The 25874-nt window shown below is 48.1% G+C and overlaps 1 protein-coding gene and 1 long non-coding RNA gene across 7 annotated transcripts in view, besides 7 other annotated features; one reads left to right on the plus strand and one right to left on the minus strand.

Annotated features, from left to right (window-relative positions):
- Positions 1-25874, plus strand: part of SEC14L1 (SEC14 like lipid binding 1) — a 128417-nt gene that overhangs the window by 33101 nt on the left and 69442 nt on the right. For 2 of the 6 annotated variants that reach the window (NM_001143998.2, NM_001039573.3), the window contains exons 1-3: positions 19184-19322; positions 20861-20965; positions 21782-21874. In NM_001143998.2, the coding sequence (NP_001137470.2) occupies positions 21812-21874 (63 nt within the window). In that variant the 5' untranslated portion in view covers positions 19184-19322; positions 20861-20965; positions 21782-21811. Of the gene's footprint in view, positions 1-19183; positions 19323-20860; positions 20966-21781; positions 21875-25874 lie in introns of those variants that run through there. The other 4 variants (NM_001204410.2, NM_001204408.2, NM_001143999.2 and 1 more) reach the window with 3 other exon arrangements.
- LOC105371901 (uncharacterized) lies at positions 1962-19654 on the minus strand. Its single transcript, XR_934988.3, has 5 exons — positions 19571-19654; positions 14734-14959; positions 3905-4032; positions 2895-3053; positions 1962-2270 (listed from the first exon to the last, which is right to left on the minus strand). It is a non-coding gene; the product is annotated as an uncharacterized LOC105371901 (long non-coding RNA).
- Positions 2194-2967: an enhancer, noted in NCBI's record as "H3K4me1 hESC enhancer chr17:75120061-75120834 (GRCh37/hg19 assembly coordinates)". NCBI's record gives its function as "activates a minimal SCP1, AML or CMV promoter by ChIP-STARR-seq in primed H9 embryonic stem cells {active_cell/tissue: H9 hESC(primed)}" and the evidence as "EXISTENCE:reporter gene assay evidence [ECO:0000049][PMID:30033119]".
- Positions 5955-6004: an enhancer, noted in NCBI's record as "active region_12824". NCBI's record gives its function as "activates an Ori minimal core promoter by ATAC-STARR-seq in GM12878 lymphoblastoid cells {active_cell/tissue: GM12878}" and the evidence as "EXISTENCE:reporter gene assay evidence [ECO:0000049][PMID:35858748]".
- Positions 11146-11647: an enhancer, noted in NCBI's record as "H3K4me1 hESC enhancer chr17:75129013-75129514 (GRCh37/hg19 assembly coordinates)". NCBI's record gives its function as "activates a minimal SCP1, AML or CMV promoter by ChIP-STARR-seq in primed H9 embryonic stem cells {active_cell/tissue: H9 hESC(primed)}" and the evidence as "EXISTENCE:reporter gene assay evidence [ECO:0000049][PMID:30033119]".
- Positions 18468-18677: a silencer, noted in NCBI's record as "silent region_9031". NCBI's record gives its function as "represses an Ori minimal core promoter by ATAC-STARR-seq in GM12878 lymphoblastoid cells {active_cell/tissue: GM12878}" and the evidence as "EXISTENCE:reporter gene assay evidence [ECO:0000049][PMID:35858748]".
- Positions 18828-19037: a silencer, noted in NCBI's record as "silent region_9032". NCBI's record gives its function as "represses an Ori minimal core promoter by ATAC-STARR-seq in GM12878 lymphoblastoid cells {active_cell/tissue: GM12878}" and the evidence as "EXISTENCE:reporter gene assay evidence [ECO:0000049][PMID:35858748]".
- Positions 19048-19497: a silencer, noted in NCBI's record as "silent region_9033". NCBI's record gives its function as "represses an Ori minimal core promoter by ATAC-STARR-seq in GM12878 lymphoblastoid cells {active_cell/tissue: GM12878}" and the evidence as "EXISTENCE:reporter gene assay evidence [ECO:0000049][PMID:35858748]".
- Positions 19662-19956: a silencer, noted in NCBI's record as "tiled region #40; HepG2 Repressive non-DNase unmatched - State 1:Tss, and K562 Repressive DNase unmatched - State 1:Tss". NCBI's record gives its function as "represses a minimal TATA promoter and a strong SV40 promoter by Sharpr-MPRA in HepG2 and K562 cells {active_cell/tissue: HepG2 | K562}" and the evidence as "EXISTENCE:reporter gene assay evidence [ECO:0000049][PMID:27701403]".

Below are 25874 nucleotides of genomic sequence, written 5' to 3' on the forward strand. Positions count from 1 at the left end.
GGGACTCCAATCCTTTGTGCTCAAAGCCTAGGCTCTCCCTAGTTTGTTACTTTGTCCAGGCCAACGCTGCCTGCAGAAAAGAGTGGACCCTCCTTTCCCCATTCTTTCTGCTCCTCTTGTCTTCCAACTCTCAGGGCCCAGACATTCAGCTAAGCCTGAGGAACACCACAGTTTGCTCATCTGGGCTTAAAAGGCTGTGTAAACATGCATTAGTCAGCAGCAGCCCACACACTGGAAAACATTGATATACTGGGGCAAACATTCCCAGAATAGATGACAAACTACCGAGTCCACCACTCAGGGGATGGGATTCCAGGAGCTATTTGCTTTCTGCCTTCAACAATTGTGCTATTTGAATTTTTTACACACAGTAGGTGGATTGCTTCTGTTATCACATCATATATTGCAATTAGTGACACCAAATCAGTTGTTTAAGAGAGAAGGGCAGGCAAGAAAACATAAATTGTGATTATCATTGGATAGTGAGATTATCATTAATTTTTATTTTCTTCTTCATCTTCTTTTTTTTTTTTTTGAGACAGCGTCTCACTCTGTCACCCAGGCTCAGTGCAGTGGCACAATCTTGGCTCACTGTAGCCTCAACTTTCCGAGCTCAAGTGATCCTCCTGCCTCAGCCTCCTGAGTAGCTGGGACTACAGGTGTACACCACCACATCCAGCTACTTTTTTTATTTTTTGTAAAAACAGGATCTCACTCTGTTGCCCAGGCTGGTCTTGAACTCTTGGGTAACATAGGAGCAATCTTCCTGCCTTTGCCTCCCAAAGTGTTGGGATTACAGGCATGAAGCACCATCCCCACCCTATTTTCTTCCTTTGGCATTTCTGCATTAGACATATTTCTAAGATGACCGTGTGCTCTCGTTGCTTGTAGCTGCCACGAACAGATAACCCTGACTCACCCTGGGTTGTGCCATGAGGACACTGATAAGAACACACAACTGCAAGGCAGAAGGAGGGCCTGGGCCTGGCCAGAGCAGCAACGCCACCCAAGGCCACCCAAGGCAGAGATGCTCTTTCTGCCTCTCCTCTCTGCAGTCCCCGTGTCTCCTCCATCACAGGTTGCATCCCCTCATGGGTACCGCATGTCTGCAGCAGCCTGAGAATCACACAGCATCCAGACAGAGAATCACACAGCATCCAGACAGAGAATCACACAGCATCCAGACAGAGAATCACACAGCATCCAGACACAGAAACAGGGGCTTTCTTTTCTGGTGTCTCCTTTTTTGTTGTTTTGTTTTTTTGTTTTTGTTTTTTTTTTTTGAGATGGAGTCTCACTCTATTGCCATGCTGGAGTGCAGTGGCACGATCTCGGCTCACTGAAACCTCCGCCTCCCTGCTTCAAGCGATCCTTCTGCCTCAGCCTCCCGAGTAGCTGGGACTACAGGTGCTCGCCACCATGCCCAGCTAATTTTTTGTATTTTTAGTAGAGATGGGGATTCACCATGTTGGCCAGGATGGTCTTGATCTCTTGACCTCATGATCCACCTGCCTCGGCCTCCCAAAGTGCTGGGATTACAGGCATGAGCCACTGTGCCCAGCTGGTGTCTCCTTTTTAAGACTGTGGGAACCCTTCCAGAACCCCCTGAAGTGGGTCCCAGGCCCACTCTTTTTTTTTTTTTTTGAGACAGAGCATCACTGTGTTGCCCAGGCTGGAGTGCGGTGGCGAGATCTTGGCTCGCTGCAACCTCCGCCTTCTGGGTTCAAGCGATTCTCCCACCTCAGCCTCCTACGTAGCTGGGACCACAGGCACACATCACCAAATCTGGCTATTTTCTTTGTTTTTTTTTTGTAGAGACAGAGGTCTCACCATGTTGCCCAGGTCTCGAACTCCTGGGCTCAAGCGATCTGCCCACCTTGGCCTCCCAAAGTGTTGGGATTACAGGCGAGAGCCACCACACCCAGCCACCCAGGCCCACTCTTAAGTCAGTCCCTGGCAGGGGGGATGTGTTAGAATCAGGTCCACCTGCTGGCCAGGCAGGGGCCAGCTTCCCCGGCTTGTGGAGTGGGGTGGACACCTGGACAAAGTTGGGGCCTTGGGAAGGAAGATGTAGCGAAACGGATGCCATGTAGACGGTCTGTGTGTCCTCTATGGCAGATTATTTTATAATTTTAAAATTTTCATTGATATAAAAACATTTAAAAAATTATGCTTGCTGTGTTTCGAAGCCCTGTTGAGGACTTTGGCAGGAGCCACGTCGATGGGTTCCTCTATGAAAGCTTCTGCTCCTTGTGGACGATAATCTCAGCCTGCACACAAATAAAAACCATGTCTTGGCCAGGGGTGGTGGCTCACACCTATTATCCTAACACTTTGGGAGGCCAAGGCAGGTGGATCACTTGAGCCCAGGAGTTCGAGACCAGCCTTGGCAACATGGCAAGACACTGTCTCTACAAAAAATATGAAAAGTAGCCAGGCGTGGTGGCGTGCGCCTATAGTCTCAGCTACTTGGGGGGCTGAGGGGGGAGGATCATTTGCGCCCAGGAGGTCGCGTCTGCAGTGAGCTGTGATCATGCCACTGCATTCCAGCCAGGGTGACAAAGCAAGATTCCGTCTCAAAACAAAAACAAAAACCGGAAACCACGTCTTGTTTCTGCTTCAGGATATTGTTCTCTGGGAACGTCAGGAACCAAACAGGTCCCACAAGCCCCACACTTCCTTAGCTGTGTATCACTGGGTCACGGGAGGTAGGCTGCTGAACTGGGGCCCCTGTCTTGGCTAATAACATCCCTTTTTTCAGCTGTGGTGGTTCAAAATTACGTTTTGTTCTTTGCTGTGAAAAGCGCTAAGCTTTTATCAGACATTATTTGATGTAGACCTAAATATTTAAAGGCTTGGCCAAGATAAATGAAATGATCTTAAAGGTGACTCACATTCCAGCATTGCAAAGTTGAGGGTTGGAGTGAGTGAGGCCATTGGAGGCAGCTCAGGTTTACTGAGTCCATATATTTTCTCAGTGTTCCTTTCAGCAGGTTGGAACTGGCTGCAGGAGAAATCACTGATCCCTTTCAGCATGTCGTACAGTCGCTTAACTGTTTAAAGCAAGTGACACAGAAATTAAGGTGGGGGATCTGATGTCTTCCATCAGAGAATAAGCTTTATCTTATATTGAGATCCAAATTGCCCTAGCAGCCTTGGCTGCTAGAACATAAGAATAAGTGGATTTACTATTATTATTATTATTATTATTATTTTTATTATTATTATATATTTTTTGAGGTAGAGTCTCGCTTTGTTGCTCAGGCTGGAGTGCAGTGGCACAATCTTGGCTCACTGCAACCTCTGCCTCCCGGGTTCAAGCGATTCTCCTGCCTCAGCCTCCCAAGCAGCTGGGACTACAGGCGCCCGCCCGGCTAATTTTTCTATTTTTAGTAGAGACTGGGTTTTGCCATGTTGGCCAGGCCGGTCTCGAACTCCTGACCTCAAATGATCTGCCCGCCTCGGCCTCCCAAAGTGCTGGGATTACAGGCATGAGCCACCTTGCCCGGACAGAATAAGTGGATTTAAAGAAAGAAAAGAAAAAGAAAAAAAAACTCTTCTTATTATTTTCACCAATGATGCACACCTTTTGATTCACTCAGCATTCTAAAATTTTAGCTTAGTCCTTAGATTCTGAAGTTGCAGGTTTTTTTTTTTTTCCTTTCCCCTATTATGTCATGCACATGACACTCAGGAGCTATGCTATAAATCACAGAACAATAAACGGATAGAGGAATAAATGGAACATTAAGAATCATCCAGGTTATTTGTACTTGCTATTTAAAGAATGCATGAGTCAAACCAATTCAACTGCTATACCGGGACCATATGGAAATATTTTGGAGCTGAATGTGTCCGTGGTTTGCCTGCTCAGTAGGATGTCCCAGGACACACAGGCACCTACCTCTGCTAGGCTTTCACTCGGGGCCTTCCTGTGCTGGAGGCCCCTGGCCATCCCACGTGCCTTATGTGCTTGCCACCAATAGGCTTTTCACCGTGACACCAGGATGTACAAATCTTGAAACTGGTGACCTGGAAGGAAGAACAAAAAGCCAAAGAACTGTGAGTTCAACAGAAGGAATGGGGCCGGGCGGGGTGGCTCACACCTGTAATCCCAACACTTTGGGAGGCCCAGGCAGGCAAATCACCAGAGGTCAGGAGTTTGAGACCATCCTGGCCAACATGGCAAAACCCCATCTCTACAAAAATATAAAAATTAGCTGTGTATGGTGGCGCATGCCTGTAATCCCAGCTACTTGGAAGGCTGAGGCAGGAGAATCGCTGGAACCCAGGAGGTAAAGGTTGCAGTGAGCTGAGATCGCACCACTGCACTCCATCCTGGGTGACAGAGCGAGACTCCGTCTCAAAAAAAAGAAGGAATGGGAGTGCGATAGGAAGAGCTCTGTGAACACTGGAGTCAGACTGTTGGGTTTGGATTCTCTGCTCTGAAAGTCACTTATCCTCTCTGTATCTTGGTGTCCCCATCTGCGAAATGGGCTGTGATGAAGATCATCGTGATGCTTGTGAAGTGCCTAGCACAGGGCCTGGGCCTGATACAACTGGTAGAAAATAGAGGGAACTGTGTTCGTTCTTCAAGGAAACTGTAACTGAATTCAATAGGGTGCTGAATTTAGGCATCACATGGGGAGGCAGGAACCATGAACTGGCTCCTAAGTTCTGAATGATCGGTAGGGGTTAAACACGCAGAACTCTTTGTGCCTCGGTCTCCCTGATATGGAATAATAAACTCAGGTTGCCAGAATCATAGCGGTTCCTTGCATGCTCCTGGAATTGCTAAGAGGCTGGTTCCCAGAGAAGCCCTCTGTGTGCCCGAGTGTGCCATGTGAGCCAGGTCAAGCTCTTCTCCAGGTGCACGGGAACCTTGGAACAAGGCCAGCCCTGCCAAGGACAGCAACATCCTTTGTTCTCTGGCTTTCTCAAAGCCCAGAGTCTACAACGTGATGAGCAAGCCAGCCTTGCCCTTCCCTTGGCATTATTTGCTTTGTGGGCAATGGTGATGGGTGGGTCAGGCAGGAGTGGGCACCCTCGGGGTCCAGGAGGCTGACTCTGTGGGGTGCAGGCACCTTTTTCACTGCTCTGGGCTTGACGAGGCTGATACCACTGCCGGGAGAGTGAGCAGGGGCGCCTCCCTTCCCTCCAACAGGGATTTCTTTTTTTTCTCTCTCTCTTTTTTTTAATTTTTATTTATTTTTTTTCTTTTTCTCTTTATTTCTTCTTTTAAAAAAAAGGGATACATGTGCAGAATGTGCAGGTTTGTTATATAGGGGTACACGTGCCATAGTGGTTTGCTGCACCTACTGACACGTCCTCTTAAGTTCCCTCCCCTCACCCCTCACCCCCAACCAACAGACCCCAGTGTGTGATGGTCCCCTCTCTGTGTCCATGTGTTCTCATTGTTCAACTCCCACTTATGAGTGAGAACATGCGGTGTATGGTTTTCTGTTCCTGGGTTAGTTTTCTGAGGATGATGGCTTCCAGCTTCATCCATGTCCCTGCAAAGGACATGAACTCATTCCTTTTTATGGTTTCAAGGGGTCTGTTTTCTTTTCTTTTCTTTTTTTGAGATGGAGTCTCGCCCTGTCACCCAGGCTGGAGTGCAGTGGCGCGATCTCAGCTCACTGCAACCTCGGCCCCTTGGGTTCAAGCAATTCTCCTGCCTCAGCTTCCCAAGTAGCCAGGATTATAAGCACCCACCACCACGCCTGGCTAATTTTTGTATTTTTAGTAGAAATGGGGTTTCACCATGTTGGCCAGGCTGGTCTCGAACTTCCGACCACAGGTAATCCACCTGCCTCAGCCTCCCAAAGTGCTGGGATTACAGGCGTAAGCCACCACGCCTGGCCAAGGGGTTTTTTTTCTAACCAGCTGTAGAGGGTTGAATGTGGGTCCCCAAAAGATGTGTCCAAGTCCTAACCCCTGGTACCTGTGAAGGCGATTTCATTTGTAAAACAGTGTCTTTGCAGATGTCAGTAAGTTAAGGAACTTGAGATGAGATCATCGTGGATTTAGGGTCTACGATGATCTCATTTTGGTGGCTTTATAAGAGAAAGGAGAGAGATTTGAGACACACAAGGGAGAAGGTGGAAGTGGAGACTAGCGAGAGGTGGCCGCAAGCCAAGGAACACCCAGGGCAACCAGCAGCCGGAAGAAGCCAGAACAGACCTTCCCAGAGCTGCAGGAGGGAGCACAGCTCTGCCGACACTTTGATTTCACCTCCAGAGCTTACGGCCTCCAGAACAGTGAGAGAATGAGTTTCTGTTGCCCTCAGCCACCAGTTCGTGGTAATTTCTTGGAACAGTGCGTCAACCATGGGTGCTTCCTGAGCCTTGTGTGGTGAAAAGTTCAGAGCCGTACCTTGTATACCCGGGGGTATGGAGGAAGGTCACACAGGCTCTTGGTTTTGCGTCAGCGTGGTTGTTCCTTCCTGGGGCACACCAGTTCTCCCCGCTAATGTCTAGTAGGCAGCTGGGGGTCACCTCTTAGCACCAGCACGGCGCCTGACCAGAGGCCACAGGGGTGGGCGGGGGTGCAGAGCTGGCAGATGCAGTGCCTTTTAGGACAAGTTATGCATTCACACTTGAGCATTTTATTTTATTTTATTTTATTTTATTTTATTTTATTTTATTTTATTTTATTTTATTTTATTTTATTATGTTTTTTTTTTTTTTCTGAGACATAGTCTCGTTCTGTCGCCCAGTCTGGAGTGCAGTGGCACTGTCTTGGCTCACTGCAACCTCTGCTTCTCGGGTTCAAGTGATTCTCCTGCCTCAGCCTCCTGAGTAGCTGGGATTACAGGCACATGCCACCAGGCCTGGCTAATTTTTGTATTTTTAGTAGAGATGGGGTTTCATTGGCCAGGCTGGTCTTGAACTCATGACCTCAGGTGATCCACCTGCCTCGGCCTCCCAAAGTGCTGGGATTACAGATGTGATTCACCGCGCCTGGCCACGCTTGGGCATTTTAAAGTAGAGTGAGCTTTCTGAACGTGAAGGGGTGATAGAGACTGTTGTGCCCAACTAAGCCAGATGACCATCTCCCCATGCACCCCTAGCCCCTTGGAGTCCATTTAGCTTATGTAGCTCATAATTATAGACAATGGTTTGCCAAGAAATTCCTTTGTATTTTTTTCAGCCTGTCTGTGCCAAGAGCCGTACAAATGAGCATTGGTCTTTTAATCATATTTTCATGTTGGTCTTTTGAACAATTTTCATATTGTTTTTCTGTTGGGGGAAATTTAAGATGGGGAAGGATTTATCTAAATATAGACGATGTTGCTGGCAACCAACTAGAGCGGTAGGCGGGACGATAATAATAATCTATGTGTACAGAACATTCCGGAGGCAAAGCTGTAGGATGCCTGGCGGTGGGAAGCATTTACATAGAGTCTAACCATTTACAAAATGTTTTCATCAACATTTTCTTATCCAAGCTTAACAACCCAGTGAGATTTTCTGACACCAAATTCCATCAGCATCCAATTAGTATTTTTGTTTTTTTTTCCTTTGGAGGAGGAAAACCCTAAAAGCTGCTTTAGGCTACTGAGGTGGCTCAATCAGACCCACAGGTCCTGCCAACGTGGGGAAGGGTGAGAGATGGAATTTTCACTGCAGTGTGAAGTGAGCACATGTGTGATTCTCAGCTGGAGGTCACACTGTGTATATAGAACCTTCCCGGGCAGGGCTGTAGGGTGCCTGGTTATGGGATGCATCCCAAATAAGGTATTGAACTGAAACCCTCTGAGTTCGAATCTCCTGGTGAAACAGGAGATTTGGGGGTCTGAATGATCTTCTCTTTCACCCACATCAAGGAGGACGTGGGAGAGCTCTGGCCTCTGATGACCCCTGTGTGTCTTCAGTTCTGCCCGCAGAGCTGAAGGTGGAGGAGGGTTTTCTTTTCCATGGTTAGCCTTGAGACTATTGCTTTAACTAAATGGATTGAGGCTGCTTGACTGTTTATTCTTCACCCAGTCGCGCCTTGTGATGTGGCCTCTGGTCTATACCCTGTTAGCGCGACATTCCTTCCTGGGGGTTAATTAAAAGCAGCAAGTCGAGCCTCCCTCCAGCTGTTTATGACCCGCAGCTGCACAGCCAGGGGATTCATTGCTGGACTTGCCAACCTAAGTCCTGATCCAGCAAAGGAAAGGGAGTGCCAAGCAGCTGCATCAGTCGGTGAAGTGAGGACTATATTTTGTGAAACAAACAAGCCAAAAAGAAATATGATTGGGTAGGCTATTTTTATTTCTCTGAGTGGGAAGCTGAAAGGCTTGGTGGCGCTCCTTTGTCACCCTAAATCTCATCAGATGCAGGCTGTGCTTTCTGCTACAGAAACTCACCACCTAAGCCAGGCCGCTTCCCTGGACTTGATGTCCTCGCCTGGTGACACGAGGTACAGTGCTGTCTAAAGGTGCCAGTGTGGGGTGGAGGGGTGGTGAAAGCATCAGCCCCAAGGATGCTTCAGCTCAGTCCATGTGGTGGGGGGATGTGTTTTTTATTTATTTAATTAATTAATTTTTATTTATTTATTTATTTGAGACAGCGTTTCGCTCTGTCACCCAGGCTGGAGTGCAGTGGCGCTGTCTCGGCTCACTGCAACCTCCACCTCCTGAGTTCAAGTGATTCTCATGCCTCAGCCTCCCGAGTATCTGGGATTACAAGTGCGCTACCACACTCAGCTAATTTTTTTGTATTTTTTAGTAGTGACGGGGTTTCACTTCACCATGTTGGCCAAGCTGTTCTCGAACTCCTGGCCTCAAGTGATTCACCTGCCTCGACCTCCCAAAGTGCTGGGATGACAGGCGTGAGCCACTGAGCCCAGCCTATTTATTTATTTTTGAGACAGGTTCTCGTTCTGTCACCCAGGCTGAAGTACAGTAGCATGATCACGGCTCACTGCAACCTCCCTCTCCCGGGGTCAAGTGAGCCTCCCAAGCAGCTGGGAATGCAGGCACATGCCATCATGCCCAGCTAATTTTTGTATTTTTGTAAAGACAGGGTCTTGCCATGTTGTCCAAGCTGGTCTTGAATTCCTGGGCTCAAGGGATCCGCCCGCCTCGACTTCCCAAAGTGCTGGGTTTACAGACTGCCTAGCCTGAGATGTGTGAAATGCACTCAGAATAAAGGCCTCATCAAAAGTTCATTTAGTTCAACCCAACAGATATTTAATAGGGTTCTAGAAAATGCCAGGTGCTATTAAAATAGGAGAAAATTAGTGACGATGGTACCCAAGCAACTTACAGTTCAACAGAAGACACAGATCCCATTCTTCTACGGACAGTCTAGTTTTAGCCAACATGCCTTATGATGGAATTGTGAAGTGCATGGGCCAATGGAAAGAGGCATCAGAAAAGCCTTCAGGGAGGAGCTACATTGGGCCGTTGTGGAACCGAATAGGCTGTGTTTCAACTGCTAGGTGTCTGTCCTATAGAGCAGGCTGGCACCTTGTAGGAAAATCTGCTTTTTTGTAGTGGATCTCTCTTTTTTTGAGATGGAGTTTCGCTTTTGTTGCCCAGGCTGGAGTGCAATGGCGCGGTCTTGGCTCACTGCAACCTCTGCCTCCCAGGTTCAAGCGATTCCCCAGCCTCAGCCTCCCAAGTAGCTGGGATGACAGGCACCCACCACCATGCCCAACTAATTTTTGTATTTTTAGTAGAGATGCAGTTTTACCATGTTGGCCAGGCTGGTCTCAAACTCCTGATCTCAGATGATCCACCCGCCTCGACCTCCCAAAGTGCTGGGATTACAGGCGTGAGCCACCACACCCAGCTGTAGTGGGTCTTTCTATACCCCAGTGCTCACTGTGTTCAGAGTAAATTAAGGTGCTCAATAAATGTTTGTTGAATCCACAAAGGAATGAGTAAATAAATGAATAGAGTGGAGATGAATATAAAATCATTCTGGACAAATGAAGTTGGGGACGAGATTTACAGATGATCTTGAATGGTAGGCTTTGAAGTTTAAATTTAATTCTGTAGTCAATGTACTTTTTGCACAAGGGAGTGAGTCTGTATTTTTGGGAGAGAATTCTGCTAGTAGTAGGAAGGGTGTCCTGAAGGAAGGAAGACTCTTAGGTAGATAAACCAACTAGTCATAGGGAGTTTGCCTCTCCAGATTGAAATGAAATATTTTGGAAATATTGAAGGTTGGATGATAACTTTTGCAGATCCAGCTTCTTGGCCCGAAGTTTTCCCAGGTCGGGAATGATGCACTGTGTTAGCTCAAGGCCACTGGATTATTGCCAGGGCTCAATTAGGAAATCGTGCCTGTAGGGTAACCTACATTTTCTGTACTTTTCCAGGCTGGAAACTTTGCCAGATGGCCCATGTCAGGAGTATCAGTCATGCCTTGCAAGGCTGTCTTTAACTCTTTTACCACCAAATGCCAAAGTGGTCTCTTCCTTTATTAGGCCTTTATTCTGCATGGAATTTTTTTTTTTTTTTTTTTGAGCCGGAGTCTGGCTCTGTCACCCAGGCTAGAGTGCAGTGGCACGATCTCACTGCACCCTCCAACTCCTGGGTTCAAGCGATTGTCCTGCCTCAGCCTCCCAAGTAGCTGCGATTACAGGCATGCACCACCACACCCAGCTAATTTTTACATTTTTAGTGGAGACGGGGTTTCACCATGTTTTGGCCAGGCTGGTCTCAAACTCCTGACCTCAGGTGATCCACCCGCCTCTGCCTCCCAAAGTGCTGGGATGACAGGCGTGAGCCACTGCGCCTGGGCAAGTCTGCGTGCATTAAACACAACCCCCCAGCATGGGCTCTGACATGTCTCTGTAACTGACTGAAGTGAAGCACAAATGCCAGGGCGTATAAGGCCACCAGAAAATACGAAGTAAGTGCCCCTGGGTCTCTTGGCACAGCCTAGATAATTAGCTGGCCCTGACTCTCAGCATTGTTTAAAGGCATTATTGAGCATTATCTCTTGTTTCTTTTGCTATGGTAGTGAAGGGGTTGGGCTCTGGAGGCTGAAATTTTAGTTTAAGATTGTCACTTGCCTTCCACTGTCTTTCTTGGAGTGACACTCCCCTAAACTATACCCCAATCCTCCTTTTTTTTTTTTCTTTTTTCTTTTTTTTTGAGACAGAGTCTCACTCTCTCGCCCAGGCTGGAGTGCAGTGGTGCAATCATGACTCACTGCAGCCTCAAACTCCTGAGCCCAAGTGATTCTCCCACTTGAGGATCAGCCTCCCGAGTAGCTGGGACCACAGGTGAGTGCCACTACCCCCAGCTAATTTTTATTTTTACTTTTTGTAGAGACAAGGTCTCACTATGTTCTCCAGGCTGTTCTGGAACTCCTGGGCTCAAGTGATCCTCCTGCCTCACCCTCCCAAAGTGTTGAGATTACAGGCATGAGCCACTGCACCTGGCTGCGGTCCTCTTATGCCACAGGTTCCCATGCTGCTTTTGTTATGGTAGAGAAGAGGTTGAGCTCTGGAGGCCGAAATTTCAGTGACTCCTGATATTTTGCTAAGAGCAATGGAGAAGATATGGCCTGAGGACCCAGCAACGGCCCCCCTACCTCAGGTTAATCCTGCCGGGGGCGGGAATGTGTCCTGCCACGATGCTTCTGCCCACCTGTCGGTGCCTATGCAGGTGTGACCAGGCTGCTGACACTGCGTCCTGAGGTCAGCTCGAGGCGGCCAAGTGGAACGGCAGCTTCAGACTCAGGCTCCTAATGGGGGCTTGTCTGAGCAACTCACAGTGTCTTGCTATGGACTCTTGGGAATCCTGTGCTTCGGTCCCAAGGGCACCTGGTATGTGTAGCCTTTACGCGGCACCCATCAAGGCTTCCATTCACCAAATGAGAGGCGACAACAGACAGGTGAGGAGAACTCACTAATAAAGATGCTCTGTGCTGGGCACGGTGGCTCACCCCTGTAATCCCAGCACTTTGGGAGGCCGAGGCGGGTGGATCACATGAGGTCAGGAGTTCGAGACCAGCCTGGCCAAGATGGAGAAACCCCGTCTCTACTAAAAATACAAAAATTAGCTGGGCGTGGTGGCAAGCACCTGTAGTCCCAGCTACTCGGGAGGCTGAGGCAGGAGAATCACTAGAACCCAGGAGGTGGAGGTTGCAGTGAACTAAGATCATGCCACTGTACTCCAGCCTGGGCAACAGAGTGAGACTCCATCTCAAAAAAAAAAAAAAAAAAGCTCTGGAAGCGAGGGGCACAGTCACGGTGTTTCAGAGTGCCCACTCTCGTAATTCGACTTTAAAGGGATCCTGTCTGAGGAAAACAGGAGGAGTGCTGCAAGACAAGGGCAGCAGCCTTCTCTTTCTCTGCTGCAGCGCTGCGGTCCCACCAACCTGCCTTCACTGTTTGTTACCTGATGTCACTTACCCTGCCCGGTGTTGACTCCACCCTGTTCAGCCTGTGGATGACTATTAGCCCAGAGAACAGAGAAAGGAACAGTGCCACTTGAACACAACATGCAACACACACACACTTTTTTTTTTTTTTTGGAGACATGGTCTCTCTCTGGCACCGAGGCTGTAGTGCAGTGCTGCAATCATGGCTCACTGCAGCCTCAACCTCCTGGGTTCAAGTGATCCTACTGGCTCAGCCTCCCAAGTAGCTGGAACTATAGATGCGAGCCACCATGACCAGCTAAATTTTAAATTTTTTGTTGAGGCCGGGTGCGGTGGCTCATGCCTGTAATCCCAGCCCTTTGGGAGGTGGAGGTGGGTGATCACTTGAGGTCAGGAGTTCTAGACCACCCTGGCCAACATGGTGAAACCCCATCTCTACTTAAAACAAACAAACAAAAAATACAAAAATTAGGCAGGTGTGGTGGCGCATGCCTGTAATCCCAGCTACTTGAGAAGCTGGGCAGGAGAATCGCTTGAACCCAGGAGGCGGATGTTGCAGTAAGCCGAGATTGTGCCACTGCACGCTAGCCTGGGTGACCGAGCAAAACTCTGTCTCAAAAATAAATTAAATAAATAAAATAAAATACTTTTTTTGTTGTTGTTGAGACAGGGTCTCACTGTGTTTCCCAGGTTGGTCTTGAACTCCTGAGCTCAAATAATCCTCCCACTTCAGCCTTGTAAAGTGCTGGGATGACAGGCGGTAGCCACCGTGTCCAGCTGCAAACAATTCTTATGTTCTGTTTTTGTTTTTTGTAAAAAGATTGTGTCCTGTCACATTGGCTTGAGTATTTACACTCATTGTCCTGGTTTCCATTCTCTCCTCAACCCACTGCTGCCTGTCTTCTGTCCCTGAAGCCTGGTGAATTCATGTCTAGCAAGGACACCAGTGGCCCTCTTATTACCGAAGCCCAGGAGCTATCTTATTTCTCGTTCTGTTACCCATCTTTTGGCTCTATTGACCCCATACCACTTGACACTGTTGGGGAGCAGGGCATCACTTCTCTCTCCTGGTTCTCCTTCCACCTCTCTGCTTATCAGCATCCTTCCCTGGTTCTTGTTCACATCCTGACTCTTAATAGTTGGAGTTCTTTAGAATTCTGCTCTTGGTTTTCTTTGCATCTGAGTGATACCATACTCCCACCAGTAACTTCATTCAGCCTTGGATAAGTTCCTGCCTAGTCAACTGTTTCTGTTCTGTGAGGCTTTCCTCAACTCCCCAGAGACTGGCTCCATAGCACTGTCCCTATTTCTCATTTCTAGCACTTATCACACTGTGTATAGACTTAGTTTATTCTGTAATTCTTTCTTTCTCTCTTTGTCTTTCTCTCTTTCTTTCTCTCTTTCTTTGTCTTCCTTCCTTCCTTTCTTTCGAGACAGTGTTGCTCTGTCTCTCAGGCTATCTCTCAGGCTGGAGTGCAGTGGCACAATCAGGGCTCACTGCACCCTCAACCTCCTGGGTTCAAGTGATCCTCCTGCCTCAGCCTCCCGAGTAACAAGGACTACAGGCATGTACCACCATGCCTGGCTAATTTTTTAAAAATTGTTTGTAGAGATAGGGGTCTTGCTATGTTGTCCAGGCTGGTCTGGAACTCCTGGGCTCAAGCAATCCTTCCAACTTGGCTTCCCAAAGATTGCAGGCATAAGCTATGTATCTGGCGCCTCTCTCTCTCTCTTTCCTTCTTTCCTTCCTTCCTTCTCTTTCTTTTCTATTTTTTTGAAACAGAGTTTCGCTCTGTCACCCAGGCTGGAGTGCAGTGGCACTATCTTGGCTCACTGCAAGCTCCATCTCCCGGGTTCATGCCATTCTCCTGCCTCAGCCTCCTGAGTAGCTGGGACTATAGGCACCAGCCACCACGCCCGGCTAATTTTTTTTTTTGTATTTTTAGTAGAGACGGGTTTCATGTGTTAGCCAGGATGGTTTCGATCTCCTGACCTTGTGACCTGCCCGCCTCGGCCTCCCAAAGTGTTGAGATTACAGGCGTGAGCCACTGCGCCTGGCCCCTTCTCTTTCTTTCTTTCTCTTTTGCTTTCTTTCTTTTTCTTTTCTTTCTTTTCTCTTTCCTTCCTTCCTCTTTCCTTTCTTTCTTTCTCTCTTTTTCTCTCTCTCTTCCTTTCTTTCTCTCATCCTCACCCTGCCCTGCCCTCCCTCTCCCCTTCCCTCCCTTCCTTCCTTTCTCTTTCTTTTTTCTTTCTTTCTCTTTCCTTCCTCCTTCTTTCTTTTGAAATTTTTCAAACACACATTACCACTACATTTTAATAGTTTGATTGTATCCTTGATGAGAGAGATTGTTAGTCGCCACCAATATTATACATCCTTTGCTTCTTTCTTAGCAACAGAACTCACCGTTTGTAGCTGGGTGTGTGGTCACTTGGCACAGGCTACATTTCCCAGCCTTCTTTGCTCTTGGGTGTGCCCATGTGATTAAGTTCTGGCCAATGGGAAGTATGTATGTTTGCTTATGGGTGTGCACGCATGTGTGTGCACGTGTTTGTACATGCATATCATTTCCAAGGAAGCGTCGTTCGGGGAGCAGGTTTGCTCTTCTTCACCCTTTCCTCCGACTTGCTGGCTGGAGGGGGAAGACACACTGTGGTAATGGCAAAGTAGCAACACAGAAGGGGCCCGTGTTAGGCCATTCTCGAATTGCTATAAAGAAATACTTGAGACTGGGTAATTTATAAAGAAAAAAAGTTTAATTGGCATTCTTAAGAGAAAGCAATAATTTCTTTTTCTTTCTTTTTTTTTTTTTTTGAGACAGAGTTTCGCTCTTGTTGCCCAGGCTGGAGTGCAATGGTGCGGTCTCGGCTCACCGCAACCTCTGCCTCCCAGGTTCAAGCAATTCTCCTGCCTCAGCCTCCAGAGTAGCTGGGATTATAGGCATGTGCCACCATGCCTGGTTAATTTTGTATTTTTAGTAGAGACGGGGTTTCTCCATATTGGTCAGGTTGGTCTTAAACTCCCAACCTCAGGGGATCCACCTGCCTTGGCCTCCCAAAGTGCTGGGATTACAAGCGTGAGCCACCACGCTCAGCCACAAGAAAGCAGTAATTTCTTAGTATCATTATATGTTCAAATAGTGCTTAAGAGGTTCCACAGGCTGTTCAGGAAGCATGGCGCTGGCATCTGCTTAGCTTCTGGTGAAGCCTCAGGGAGCTTTTAGTCTTGGTGGAAGGAGAGAAGGGGGAACAGGCAGGTCACATGGTGAAAGCAGGCAGAAGCTCCAGAGAGTAGGGGGAGGTGCCACCCATTTTTAAGTGAGAAGATCTCATGTGAACTTAGAGAGAGCTCACTTATGGCCAAGGGGATGGCCCAAGCCATTCATGAGGGATCTGATGACCCAAACGCCTCCCACCAGGCCAGACCTCCAACACTGTGGATTACAATTCAACATGAGATTTGAGTTCAGACTATCTCAGGGCCTACATTCCTGATCATGAGGAATAAGACCACCTGCATCCACACAGCTTAGCCATCAGGACTGAGACCTAAGATCTCTGTGTCAACATGACTTACTATTTGATCCAGGAGATTCTTGTTCAGGAATATTAGACTGTAAACCAATACGTGCTTTCACTGTTTGCCTCAACAAATTCCTGAAAAAGCATTTATTGTAACAAAAGATTGCTTATCTTTACATATAACCCCCTTCTCTGGATAACAGTATAACCACCCAAGGGGTTCACCTTCCCTGCTGCCTAGAGAGAGCTGATTCATCAGGACAGGAGGATTGCAATAGAGTCATTCACACAGAGCTGGCTGTGCAGGAGATTGGAGTTTTATTATTACTCAAATCAGTCTCCCTGAACATTCAGGGAGCAGAGTTTTTAAAGACAACTTGGTGGGTCGGGGGAGGCCAGTGAGCCAGGAGTGCTGATTGGTCAGGGAGGAAATCATAGGGAGTCGGAGCTGTCTTCTTGTGCTGAGTCAGTTCCTGGGCGGGGGCCACAAGATCAGATGAGCCTGTTTGTTGATCTGGGTGGTGCCAGCTGAGCCATCAAGGGGAGGATCTGCAAAATGTCTCAAGCACTGATCTTAGGAGCAGTTTAGGGAGGGTCAGAATCTTGTAGCCTCCAGCTGCATGACTCCTAAACCATAATTTCTAATTTGTGGCTAATGTTAGTCCTACAAAGGCAATCTAGTCCCCAGGCAAGTAGGAGGTTGGTGGGCAGGGTGCTGTGGTTCACTCCTGTAATACCACCACTCTGGGAGGCTGAGGCAGGCAGATCACAAGGTCAGGAGTTTGAGACCGGCCTGACCAACATGGTGAAAGCCCGTCTCTACTAAAAATAAAAAAATTAGCTGGGCACTCGCCTGTAATCCCAGCTACTCGGGAGGCTGAGGCAGGAGGGCAGGAGAATCACTTGAACCCAGGAGGTGGAGGTTGCAGTGAGCCAAGATCGTGCCACTGCACTCCAGCCTGGGCAACAGAGTAAGACTCCATCTCAAAACAAACAAACAAACAAAAAAACAAAAAAAACCTAAGGAAAAAAATAGCAAAAAGTAGCCAGGCGTGGTGGCACATGCCTGTAGTCACAGCTACTCAGAAGGCTGAGGTGGGAGGTTCACTTGAGGCCAGGTGATGATGCTGCAGACGGCTATGATTATGCCACTGCCCTCAAGCCTGGGGAACAGAGTGAGACTGTTTCAAGAAAAAAAAAATGGAAATAAAGTTTTTTGTGATTGGTTGATGTCTCAAGTCTGTTTTTTCTTCAAAATGTTTAACTGAAGTATAATATACATATAAAAGCTTGCAAATCATAAATGAATGTATGGCTCAACAAATTTCCCAATCTCTTTTAATCTATAGATTGACCATTCCCCTCTTTTTTTCCTTTGGAATTTGATAAAGAATATATTTGTCTTGTACCGTTTCCCACAGTCTGTACTTTGCCAATTGTTTTTCATGGTGTCATTTAGCATGTTCCTCTATTCTGTATTTCCTGTAAACTGGTGGTTGCATCTAGAAGTTCAGCAGGTCAGGTGAATTTTTTTTTTTTTTTTTTTTTTTGACACGGAGTCTTGCTGGAGTCCAGCCCAGGCTGGAGTGCAGGGCAGGTGGCGTGATCTTGCCTCACTGCAACCTCTGCCCAGGTTCAAGTGATTCTCCTGCCTCAGCCTCCCAAGTAGCTGGGATTACAGGCATCTGGCACCACACCCGGCTACTTTTTGTATTTTTAGTGGAGACGAGGTCTCACCGTGTTGACCAGGATGGTCTCAAACTCCTGACCTCAGGTGATCCACCCACCTAGGTCTCCCAGACTGTTGGGATTACAGGCGTGAGCCACCGCAACGGCGTTAAAGCGTCTTTTGAAGGTGGATGTGATTTTTTTTTTTTTTTTTGGGACGGAGTCTCGCTCTGTCGACCAGGCTGGGGTGCAGTGGCGCGATCTCGGCTCACTGCAAGCTCTGCCTCCAGGGTTCACGCCATTCTCCTGCCTCAGACTCCCAAGTAGCTGGGACTACAGGCGCCCGCCACCACGCCCGGCTAATCTGTTGTATTTTTAGTAGAGACAGGGATTTCACCGTGTTAGCCAGGATGGTCTCGATCTCCTGACCTCGTGATCCGCCCACCTCGGCCTCCCAAAGTGCTGAGATTACAGGCGTGAGCCACCGCGCCCGGCCGGTGGATGTGATTTCTACAAACAAGCAAAAGCCAGTCAGACTGAATGTAGTGAATAATGTAGGTGACCCAGCTGGAAGATGATGGTTTGACGTGGAACACAAGGGGTGATGAGGCCATGAATGATTTGCTTGTGTGTCTGGTAAACTGGCTTTGATGGAAATTCCTAAACAGGTCCAAAAACGTTCTGTCCAATGGCAGCATGAAATGTACAGCCACTCAGGGTGACTAATGTGAACGGAACAACAGTGACTTTGACAGTGAAATTGCATGTTGGTTATAAAACCAGCTTTGCTGTGTGGGTGGGCATGCGAGGTGCCCCTTTCTAGTCATGAGCTCCTCTTAAGGACCCCAAAATGTCTCAGTGGTACCGGATTGAAAATTGGGGCTGGACGGTGCTCTCCTGCTGAAATTCGGGAGCTACTTAGCAGCCCCACCTTGGCACCCTCGTTTCCGAGGGGCAGGCCCTGGGCGCGCGTCTCAGTTTCAAGCCCGCGGCCCGACACTAGAGCCGTCTGGATGTGTTGACAAGGATGCCGCTGGGCTCCACCCGGGCTCACCCGGGCCCTCCCGAGCCCTGGGCCGCGCAGCACCGGCGTCCGCCTCCTCCCCATTACTCGGCGAGAATGCGGTCGGGGCACTGGCGCGAGCAGCCTGGTGCTCCTGAACAGTCAACAAGAAATGAGGAAGCACGGGGGCAGCCGCCAGGGCGACCAGAGGCAGGCCTCAGAGCAGCAGCCATACGGGAGGGCCCCGGTGGTTTTGACCTCCCGCAAACTTCCCTTTTCCCGCTCAGCCGAACCCCTCCCCTGCACGCCGGCAGCCCCTTGGGGCTTCACTCCGCCTCCGCCCGCTACTCGCGAAGCCCAGCCCGGCCCCGCCCCCAACAAGTGACGCAAAACTGGGAGGGGCCACGAGGACCTCGGGCACATCCAGCAGTGCGACGGGGCCGGCGCCTTCTCCGAGCTCCTCCCACGCTCGCGGGTCGGAGCTCGCGCCTGCGCAGTTCGGGCCCCGGGTGTCCTCCCCCCTCCCCTTTCTTAGCAACCATCGCCCGCTCCCGCCCCCGCTCCCTCGGCCGCGGCCGCGCACGCGCGCCCCTCCCGGCGCCCGGCCCCGCCCACCCCGTCACCCGTAACAACCACAAGTGCCGTCGCCGCGCCCCTTCCCCCTCCCGCCTCCCCGGCCCCCTCCCCGGAACCGGCGGTCGAGCTACGGTCGCGGAGCAGTGGAACCGAGACTGCCCCGCGGAGCCGCCGGTATGAGCGCCCCTCGCCACCCCGTGTCCCAGGCCCGGCCTTTCTGACAAGAGGTAGGCGCGTCGTCGCGGCGGGTCCGAGTGCGCCCTCGCCCCGGTCCCGGTCTCCGTGGAGTCCGGCGCCTCTCGGGCGGGCCCCCCGGAACTCCCGGCCGCCCGCTTGCTGAGCCTGTCCCTCCCCAGCCCCGGCTGCCATCGGCCCGGCACCCGAAACGGGCCGTGCCCCCGCCCCCCTGCTCGCCCTCCGCCCCCCTGCTCGCCCCTCGCCGCCCCTCGCCCCCCTCCCCCGCCCCCACCCCCACCTCGCCAGGCTTCCAGTTCCCGGGAGCCGCTTTTTGCTGAGAGCGGAGTTTCGGGTCCGGAGCCAGTGCCCGCCCCTCTCTCCCGTCGGTCGGGGCTTTGGCCCCGTGGGGCTCAGCCGCGCGGGACCCCTGCTGAGCAGCCCCGGGCGCCGGCCGCCCCTCGAGCCTGCTCGGGATGCGTTCAGTGGGTCTGGCCTTTGGCTCCTGTTTAAACAGCGATTGTCATGCAATGGAGGCCGTCCGGCTCCTGGATGCCACTTGGTCGTTGTCACTCCGGATGCCCGCGTAGGGCGTTTATCTGGACCAGAGCATCGGCAGCTGAGACCTGGCTGTGGTTCACAAGCTCGTGAATTAGCAGGTTCTTAAGTGAGTGTAGCCAGTTCTGCCAGGCGGTGGAATCCTGAATGGATGTTACCGTTTCTTAAACGAGCATTACGCTTTTTTGCTTCTTCCCCCAACTCTTGTTTGTACCCGGTTATCGTCCTCATATCTGGGAGAGTACCCTAAAATTAATATTCCCAATTAAATTTTTAAAAGATGATTGGATTCCCACTGTGCACCAACACTGTAAGGTTTGCAAAAGAAAAAGAACGTGGTCCCAGCACATCAGGATGTGTCAGTCGCATAATCAAGATGAATATTAGAAAAGCTTCAAGTTGAGTTTGGAGAACTTGGGAGTTTGGCTCTCATTCTCATGGTTTTAGAGGTGGAAGTCTTTCAAGATCATCTCCCCGAAAACCTCATTTTACAGAGATGAAACTGAGTCCTAGGGAAGTCAAATGGCTTACTCGTGGTCACCCAGAGTCATTCCTTAGCCGTTTTCACACTGTCAGATGGCGATGTTTTCCACCATGACCTCTCCTCTGAGAGGTATGCCAGACATACCAGAGAAAGTTCCAAACCTGTTTAAACCTTAGTACTATAGATGGGAATTCTATACCAGGCGCCGTGACTCATGACTATAATCCTAGCACTTTGGGAGGCTGAAGTGGGCAGATCCCTTGAGCCCAGGAGTTTGAGACCAGCCTGGGCAACATGGGGAAACCTTCTACAAAAAATATATATGGTGGTGCGTGCCTGTGGTCCCAGCTACTTGGGAGGCTGAGGCAGGAGGATCACTTGAGCTTAGAAGGTGGAGGCTGCAGTGAGTGGAGATTGTGCCACTGTGTTCCACCTTGGGCAACAGAGAGACACCCTGTCTCAAAAAAAAAAAAAAAAAAAAAGGAATCTTGGAAGTTTCTGAAATAAAATACATCTTGGTAATTTGTCTCTCTCTTTTTTTTTTAACAGCTAGACTTCGGGCTCCTTGAGGATATTCAGTTTTGTATGTTTGAATATCCTCTCACCATGTTCAGCATAAAGTACCATTCTTAATGATTATCCTCAACAAGACAGGTAGGCTCATTCGATTTTTCTTTCTCACTTTAAATAGGGGAGACAGAGGACTGGCAAGTCCAGGTGTGTTTTTAGAGCAATCCGTGTAGGCTGGCGCTAGAGAATGATTATGCACCCATAAGGAGGGCTCCTTGACTGTGAATTAGGTGTGAACATTTAACCGATTACTTACGGATATTAGCTATCTGAGGCTAGAGATTTCAGTGGAGCCTGTTTAGCCAGAATACTTGGCATCTCTGCCACTCGAAGACAGGTCGCCAAAGCTGTAGTGTACACAGTTAGAAAATAGGAATTGACACGTTTCCTTTGAAGCTAGCTTTTGAGGAGTATTCCATAGTTTGAGATACAGTAGTATTTTTTTCCAGTTTTATTTTTGTTTTCCCAGAGCTAATATCTTAACACGAGATCATTTTTATTTGGCTTCTAGTAGAAGTTGTTTAAGAGAAAATGATCCAAGCATTAATTATATTGGTTATTAGAATAATAGAATCATAACAGTTCATTGCTGGAAAGGACTCAGGTCAGGTCATGTAATGAATGCAGAGTCCCAGTAAGCCAATGAGAGGATTGGACCCCTCTCACACCAGTACTGTTTGCCTCATTGCATTGGGGCTTTGTCTGCTTTTTCTTATTGTTTAATTACCTCCCCCTGCCCTCATGTATTTAAATATCATCTTTTCATTTTTGTGTGCATAGAATTATGACCTATTGTGGTCTCTTTCTGTCGTTAGAGTGTGGTATGATGTGTCAGTGCAGACTTACTAATAATTTGTTTCTGCATTGTGGTTACTTATCACATATATTTATGTTTTGCAGGTGTGAGAGGGTTGCTGTTGTATTGCAATCATGGTGCAGAAATACCAGTCCCCAGTGAGGGTGTACAAATACCCCTTTGAATTAATTATGGCTGTAAGTACTTGACATTTCAATTTACTCTTTGGCTTCTTATTTATAAAGTACAGTGTTAGAATTTGATGATCTATAGATTTATTGTTCGTCTCCATGGCATCACTTGAACTTACTCTGTTTTTATGCTTATGAACCGTATCTAGAGTGTGTAAAATGTTTTTAAAATACAAGCCTCTGAAAATAAAAATCTGCTTATTAAAAAAAATGCACCTCAGGGTAATGTATGAATTGAAGTTAATTCTCCCTTTGAACACACAGAAGTGGGATTCTAAGCACTTCTTCCTCGGGGTTGTGCTCTTTTTTTCCTTCGTTAGAGTAGCAAAGGGACATGGAGTGTGGTCTTTGCTGCTCGTGTGGAAGAGTGCTCTGCCTATGGGTGAATTCACTTTAGGTGGTGTTAGAACTGAGCACTGTGCGATGGAGTTTTACTCACGATTCAAATGACTCTGTTGAATGAGTTTTTCCGTTATTTACCTGAAGAATTTGGCTGAAAATAAGCATTTTACTAGATGCAAAGCAAACCTTTTCCAGTCATTTTTAGATTACCGTAGGGTATTTCTTCTTTTCCTTTCTCTTTTGTGTTATTATTAAGATATAACATACATACCAGAAAATATAATACAGACAGGAGAATGTGTCTTTCATGAGCACACACCTGATGAAAACGTGTGTCACACTCAGCACACCTGGGATACTGGCACCAAGGTCAGGAACCAGAACATGGCAACCCAGGAAGAAGTCTCCCCTGGTTCAAGTGAGCCACTGTTTTGACTCCTAATACACAGAGGACTGTTACCTGTTTCTGTTCCTTCTATAAATAGAAACGCAGGTGTTTTAGCAGCTGGCTGCTTCTGCTCAGCGTATGTTTGTGGGATTTATATAGATCAATAGTTTTGAAAAACAAGAAGTCCTCTTACGGGAAGAATTTACATGACAGGGTTTGTTTTAAAATTTATTTTATTTATTTTTTTGAGACAGCGTCTCACTCTGTCACTCAGGCTGGATTGTAGTGGCGCGATCTCAGCTCACTGCAACCTCCATCTCCTGGGTTCAAGCGATTCTTCTGCCTCAGCCTCCCAAATAGCTGGGATTACAGACCTGCACTACCATGCCCGCTAATTTTTGTATTTTTAGTAGAGATGGGGTTTCTCTATGTTGGCCAGGCTGGTCTCGAACTCCTGACCTCAGGTGATCCACCCGCCTTGGTCTCCCAGAGTGCTGGGATTACAGGCGTGAGCCACCTCTCCTGGTCTATTTTTATTTTTATTTTTTGAGACGGAGTTTTGCTCTCGTCCAGGCTGGAGTGCAGTGACGCGATCTTGGCTTACTGCAGCCTCTGCCTCCTGAGTTCAAGCGATTCTGCATCAGCCTCCCGAATAGCTGCGATTACAGGTGCCTGCCCCCGCACCTGGCTAATTTGTGTGTGTGTGTGTGTATGTATGTGTGTGTGTGTGTGTGTGTGTGTGTGTGTGTGTGTATATATACACATATATATTTGTTTTGTTTTGTTTTTTAGTAGAGATGGGGTTTCTCCATGTTGGCCAGGCTGGTCTTGAACTTCTGCCCTCAGGTGATCCTCCTGCCTTGGCCTTCCAAAGTGCTGGGATTACAGGTGTGAGCCACTGTACTTGAGATATAATTTACATACAGTGAAATGGTCACGTGTCAGGTGTACAGTTTGATTAGTTTTAACAAAAGAATCCCTCACACCTTTGTGAAAACACAGGACATTTGAATCCATCCCCCTGGTGAAGGTTCTGTGGTGCGCCTTCCCTTTCAGGTGTGAGGTTTTGGTTTGTGTGTGTGGGTAAGAAGCTCTGTGTGTTAAGATGTCTGTGTGTTAAGAAGTTACGTGTGTTAAGATGTAGTTACACATCTTAAATATGTGTAGCTAGGGCTGTTAACAGTATTTTATGTTGTTGACTTACCATGTTTGCCATTTGCATGTTATCTGTGCTGTTTTGGCTTTTGGTTGTATGAGGCAAAGACCCACTCCAGCCAGCTTGGGAAGGAGTTTGGTGAGTGGGAACATGTATAGTGTGATAGGAATCACACAGGAATCCGGGAATTCGAGCTGGGATGGGCTGAGCTCCAGAGCCTGGTAGTGGAGGGAGGTTCCTGGCTGCTCTGGGGGCCTCAGCCACAGTTTTTCTCTAGGATTTTGCCCTGTGGGACTGTGCCTGGCTCCATGTGCTGGAGCCTTCTACCCCGCCACCAGCTGGCTGCTTTGCTCACTCCTAGTTTTCCATGTGGCTTCAGCTCGAGGACGTGCTTAGCTGTCTGAAAGCCCTCTGGCCCCAGTTCAACTCTGTGGCATTTCTTGTTGCATTCTTTCAGTTTCTAAGTGACCAATTCCTGTCACATTTCATAGTTCACATCCTTGAGAGAAACTTGATCTAGTTCATTCCCCACCCCGACCCCTGCCCTGGTCCTGGGTTTGAGGATATTGGCTAGCCTGTGGATTGTTTGCCTTAGGTGGGAGGCCTGACCCTTGTTCAGTGAGCTGGGCTGGTGGAGCTGGGGAGGAGGCAGTGGGGGTGGTAGGCAGTGGGCATCGCCAGGTAAAGTAGAGTGGCTGCCCACGGCCCGGGGTGGACACAGGGCAGAGAGTTGGGCAGGGTGGGGGATGTTCTCCAAAACACTTGAGTGTGGCTTAAAAAGTTCATGCAACCCTGATAGTTTGAGGCAAAGGCTGGTTTCTTTGCCAAACGTTAGATTTAATAAAAGAGGAGGTGTTTGGATTGTTTAACGTTCAGACTTCCTTATTTCCCTTACTTCACTATTTTCAAAATTGTGACGTTTACCTTGCCAGTTCATGCAGGACTTTACAGAAGAACTCGAAATTCAAATTCTGAGCTGCCACCAAGTTTTTACAATTAAACCATTTTAAAACTATTGTTCTGAGGTAGTGGTTAATTTCCCTTCTTTTTCTTTCTTTCTTCTCCTTTTTTTTCTTTTTTTTATGATTTAAAACTTACTAGTTAGAAACTTTTTTTTTTGCCTCACCAGCTTCAGGAAATTTTCTTTTGAATTGTTAGAAAAACAAACAAACAAACACACAGACGCACACACACGCACGTATATTCTTCCACCCTGTAGTATAAAGAAAACATTTTTAAATCCGAAAATGAAATATGTTACCTTTTTCCTTCCAAAAGTAGACTGTGAGTGATGTTTGTGTGGTGTCCTTTGCCCCCATTTCTTACTGTAGTTTTATGGTATAAAATCCTCAGTATTTGCTTAATTTTTTTTGTCATTGAGGAAAACTAACAGTAAAATGAGTTAACCTGAAAATGCCCTTTTCAGTTCAGCATTCAGAGTGAGGAAAGAGGTATATATGCAGTTAAGGTGAGAACGGAACCGTAGCTTCCGCCGGCGGACTTGTGAGCACGTCAGAAAGCGAATGTGCCTCACTAGAACGCACGGTGGCGGCAGGAGTGGCCGGCAGTGCCCGGCACGCAGTCACGGGAGGTGGGTCGAGTCCTGGTTTATGTGAGTCCTGTGAGGTGAGAGAGTGGGAGAAAACGCCTCACTCAACTTAATGCCTTTGTTTGTTTGTTTTAACCAAGAGTTTACTTGTAATTTAGTATTGCCGGAAAATTGTTCAGGTAAAAAGTGCCTAGTATAAATAGGTACACAGTCAGGTCAGATATGTTAATTGCATCTCACTTGATTTAATGAAAATTTACCATTTGTTTTGAGGTCAGTACCATTAAAAAAAAAACATGTTAAAGTTCTCATTAACTCGCTTGAGTGGTATTTACATAAGCAAAATTGAAGTGGAGGTTTTTCAGTAGGCATTTGCATGGTGTTGTTTTGTTAGATATCAGCCCAGAAACAGAATGTCAGAGCTTTCAGCGAGTTGGAGCAATCACCTAGCTCAACCCTCCCTTGGAGGGCGGGGAATCTGAGACTCCGAGGTGGTGAAACTTACACAGGTAGTGCCGAGATCTGATTCTCGAGTTTAGTGTTCTTTTCTCATACTATGCTTCTTCCTTCT

Source organism: Homo sapiens, chromosome 17 (assembly GCF_000001405.40).
Source record: "Homo sapiens chromosome 17, GRCh38.p14 Primary Assembly".
Lineage (NCBI taxonomy): Eukaryota > Metazoa > Chordata > Mammalia > Primates > Hominidae > Homo > Homo sapiens.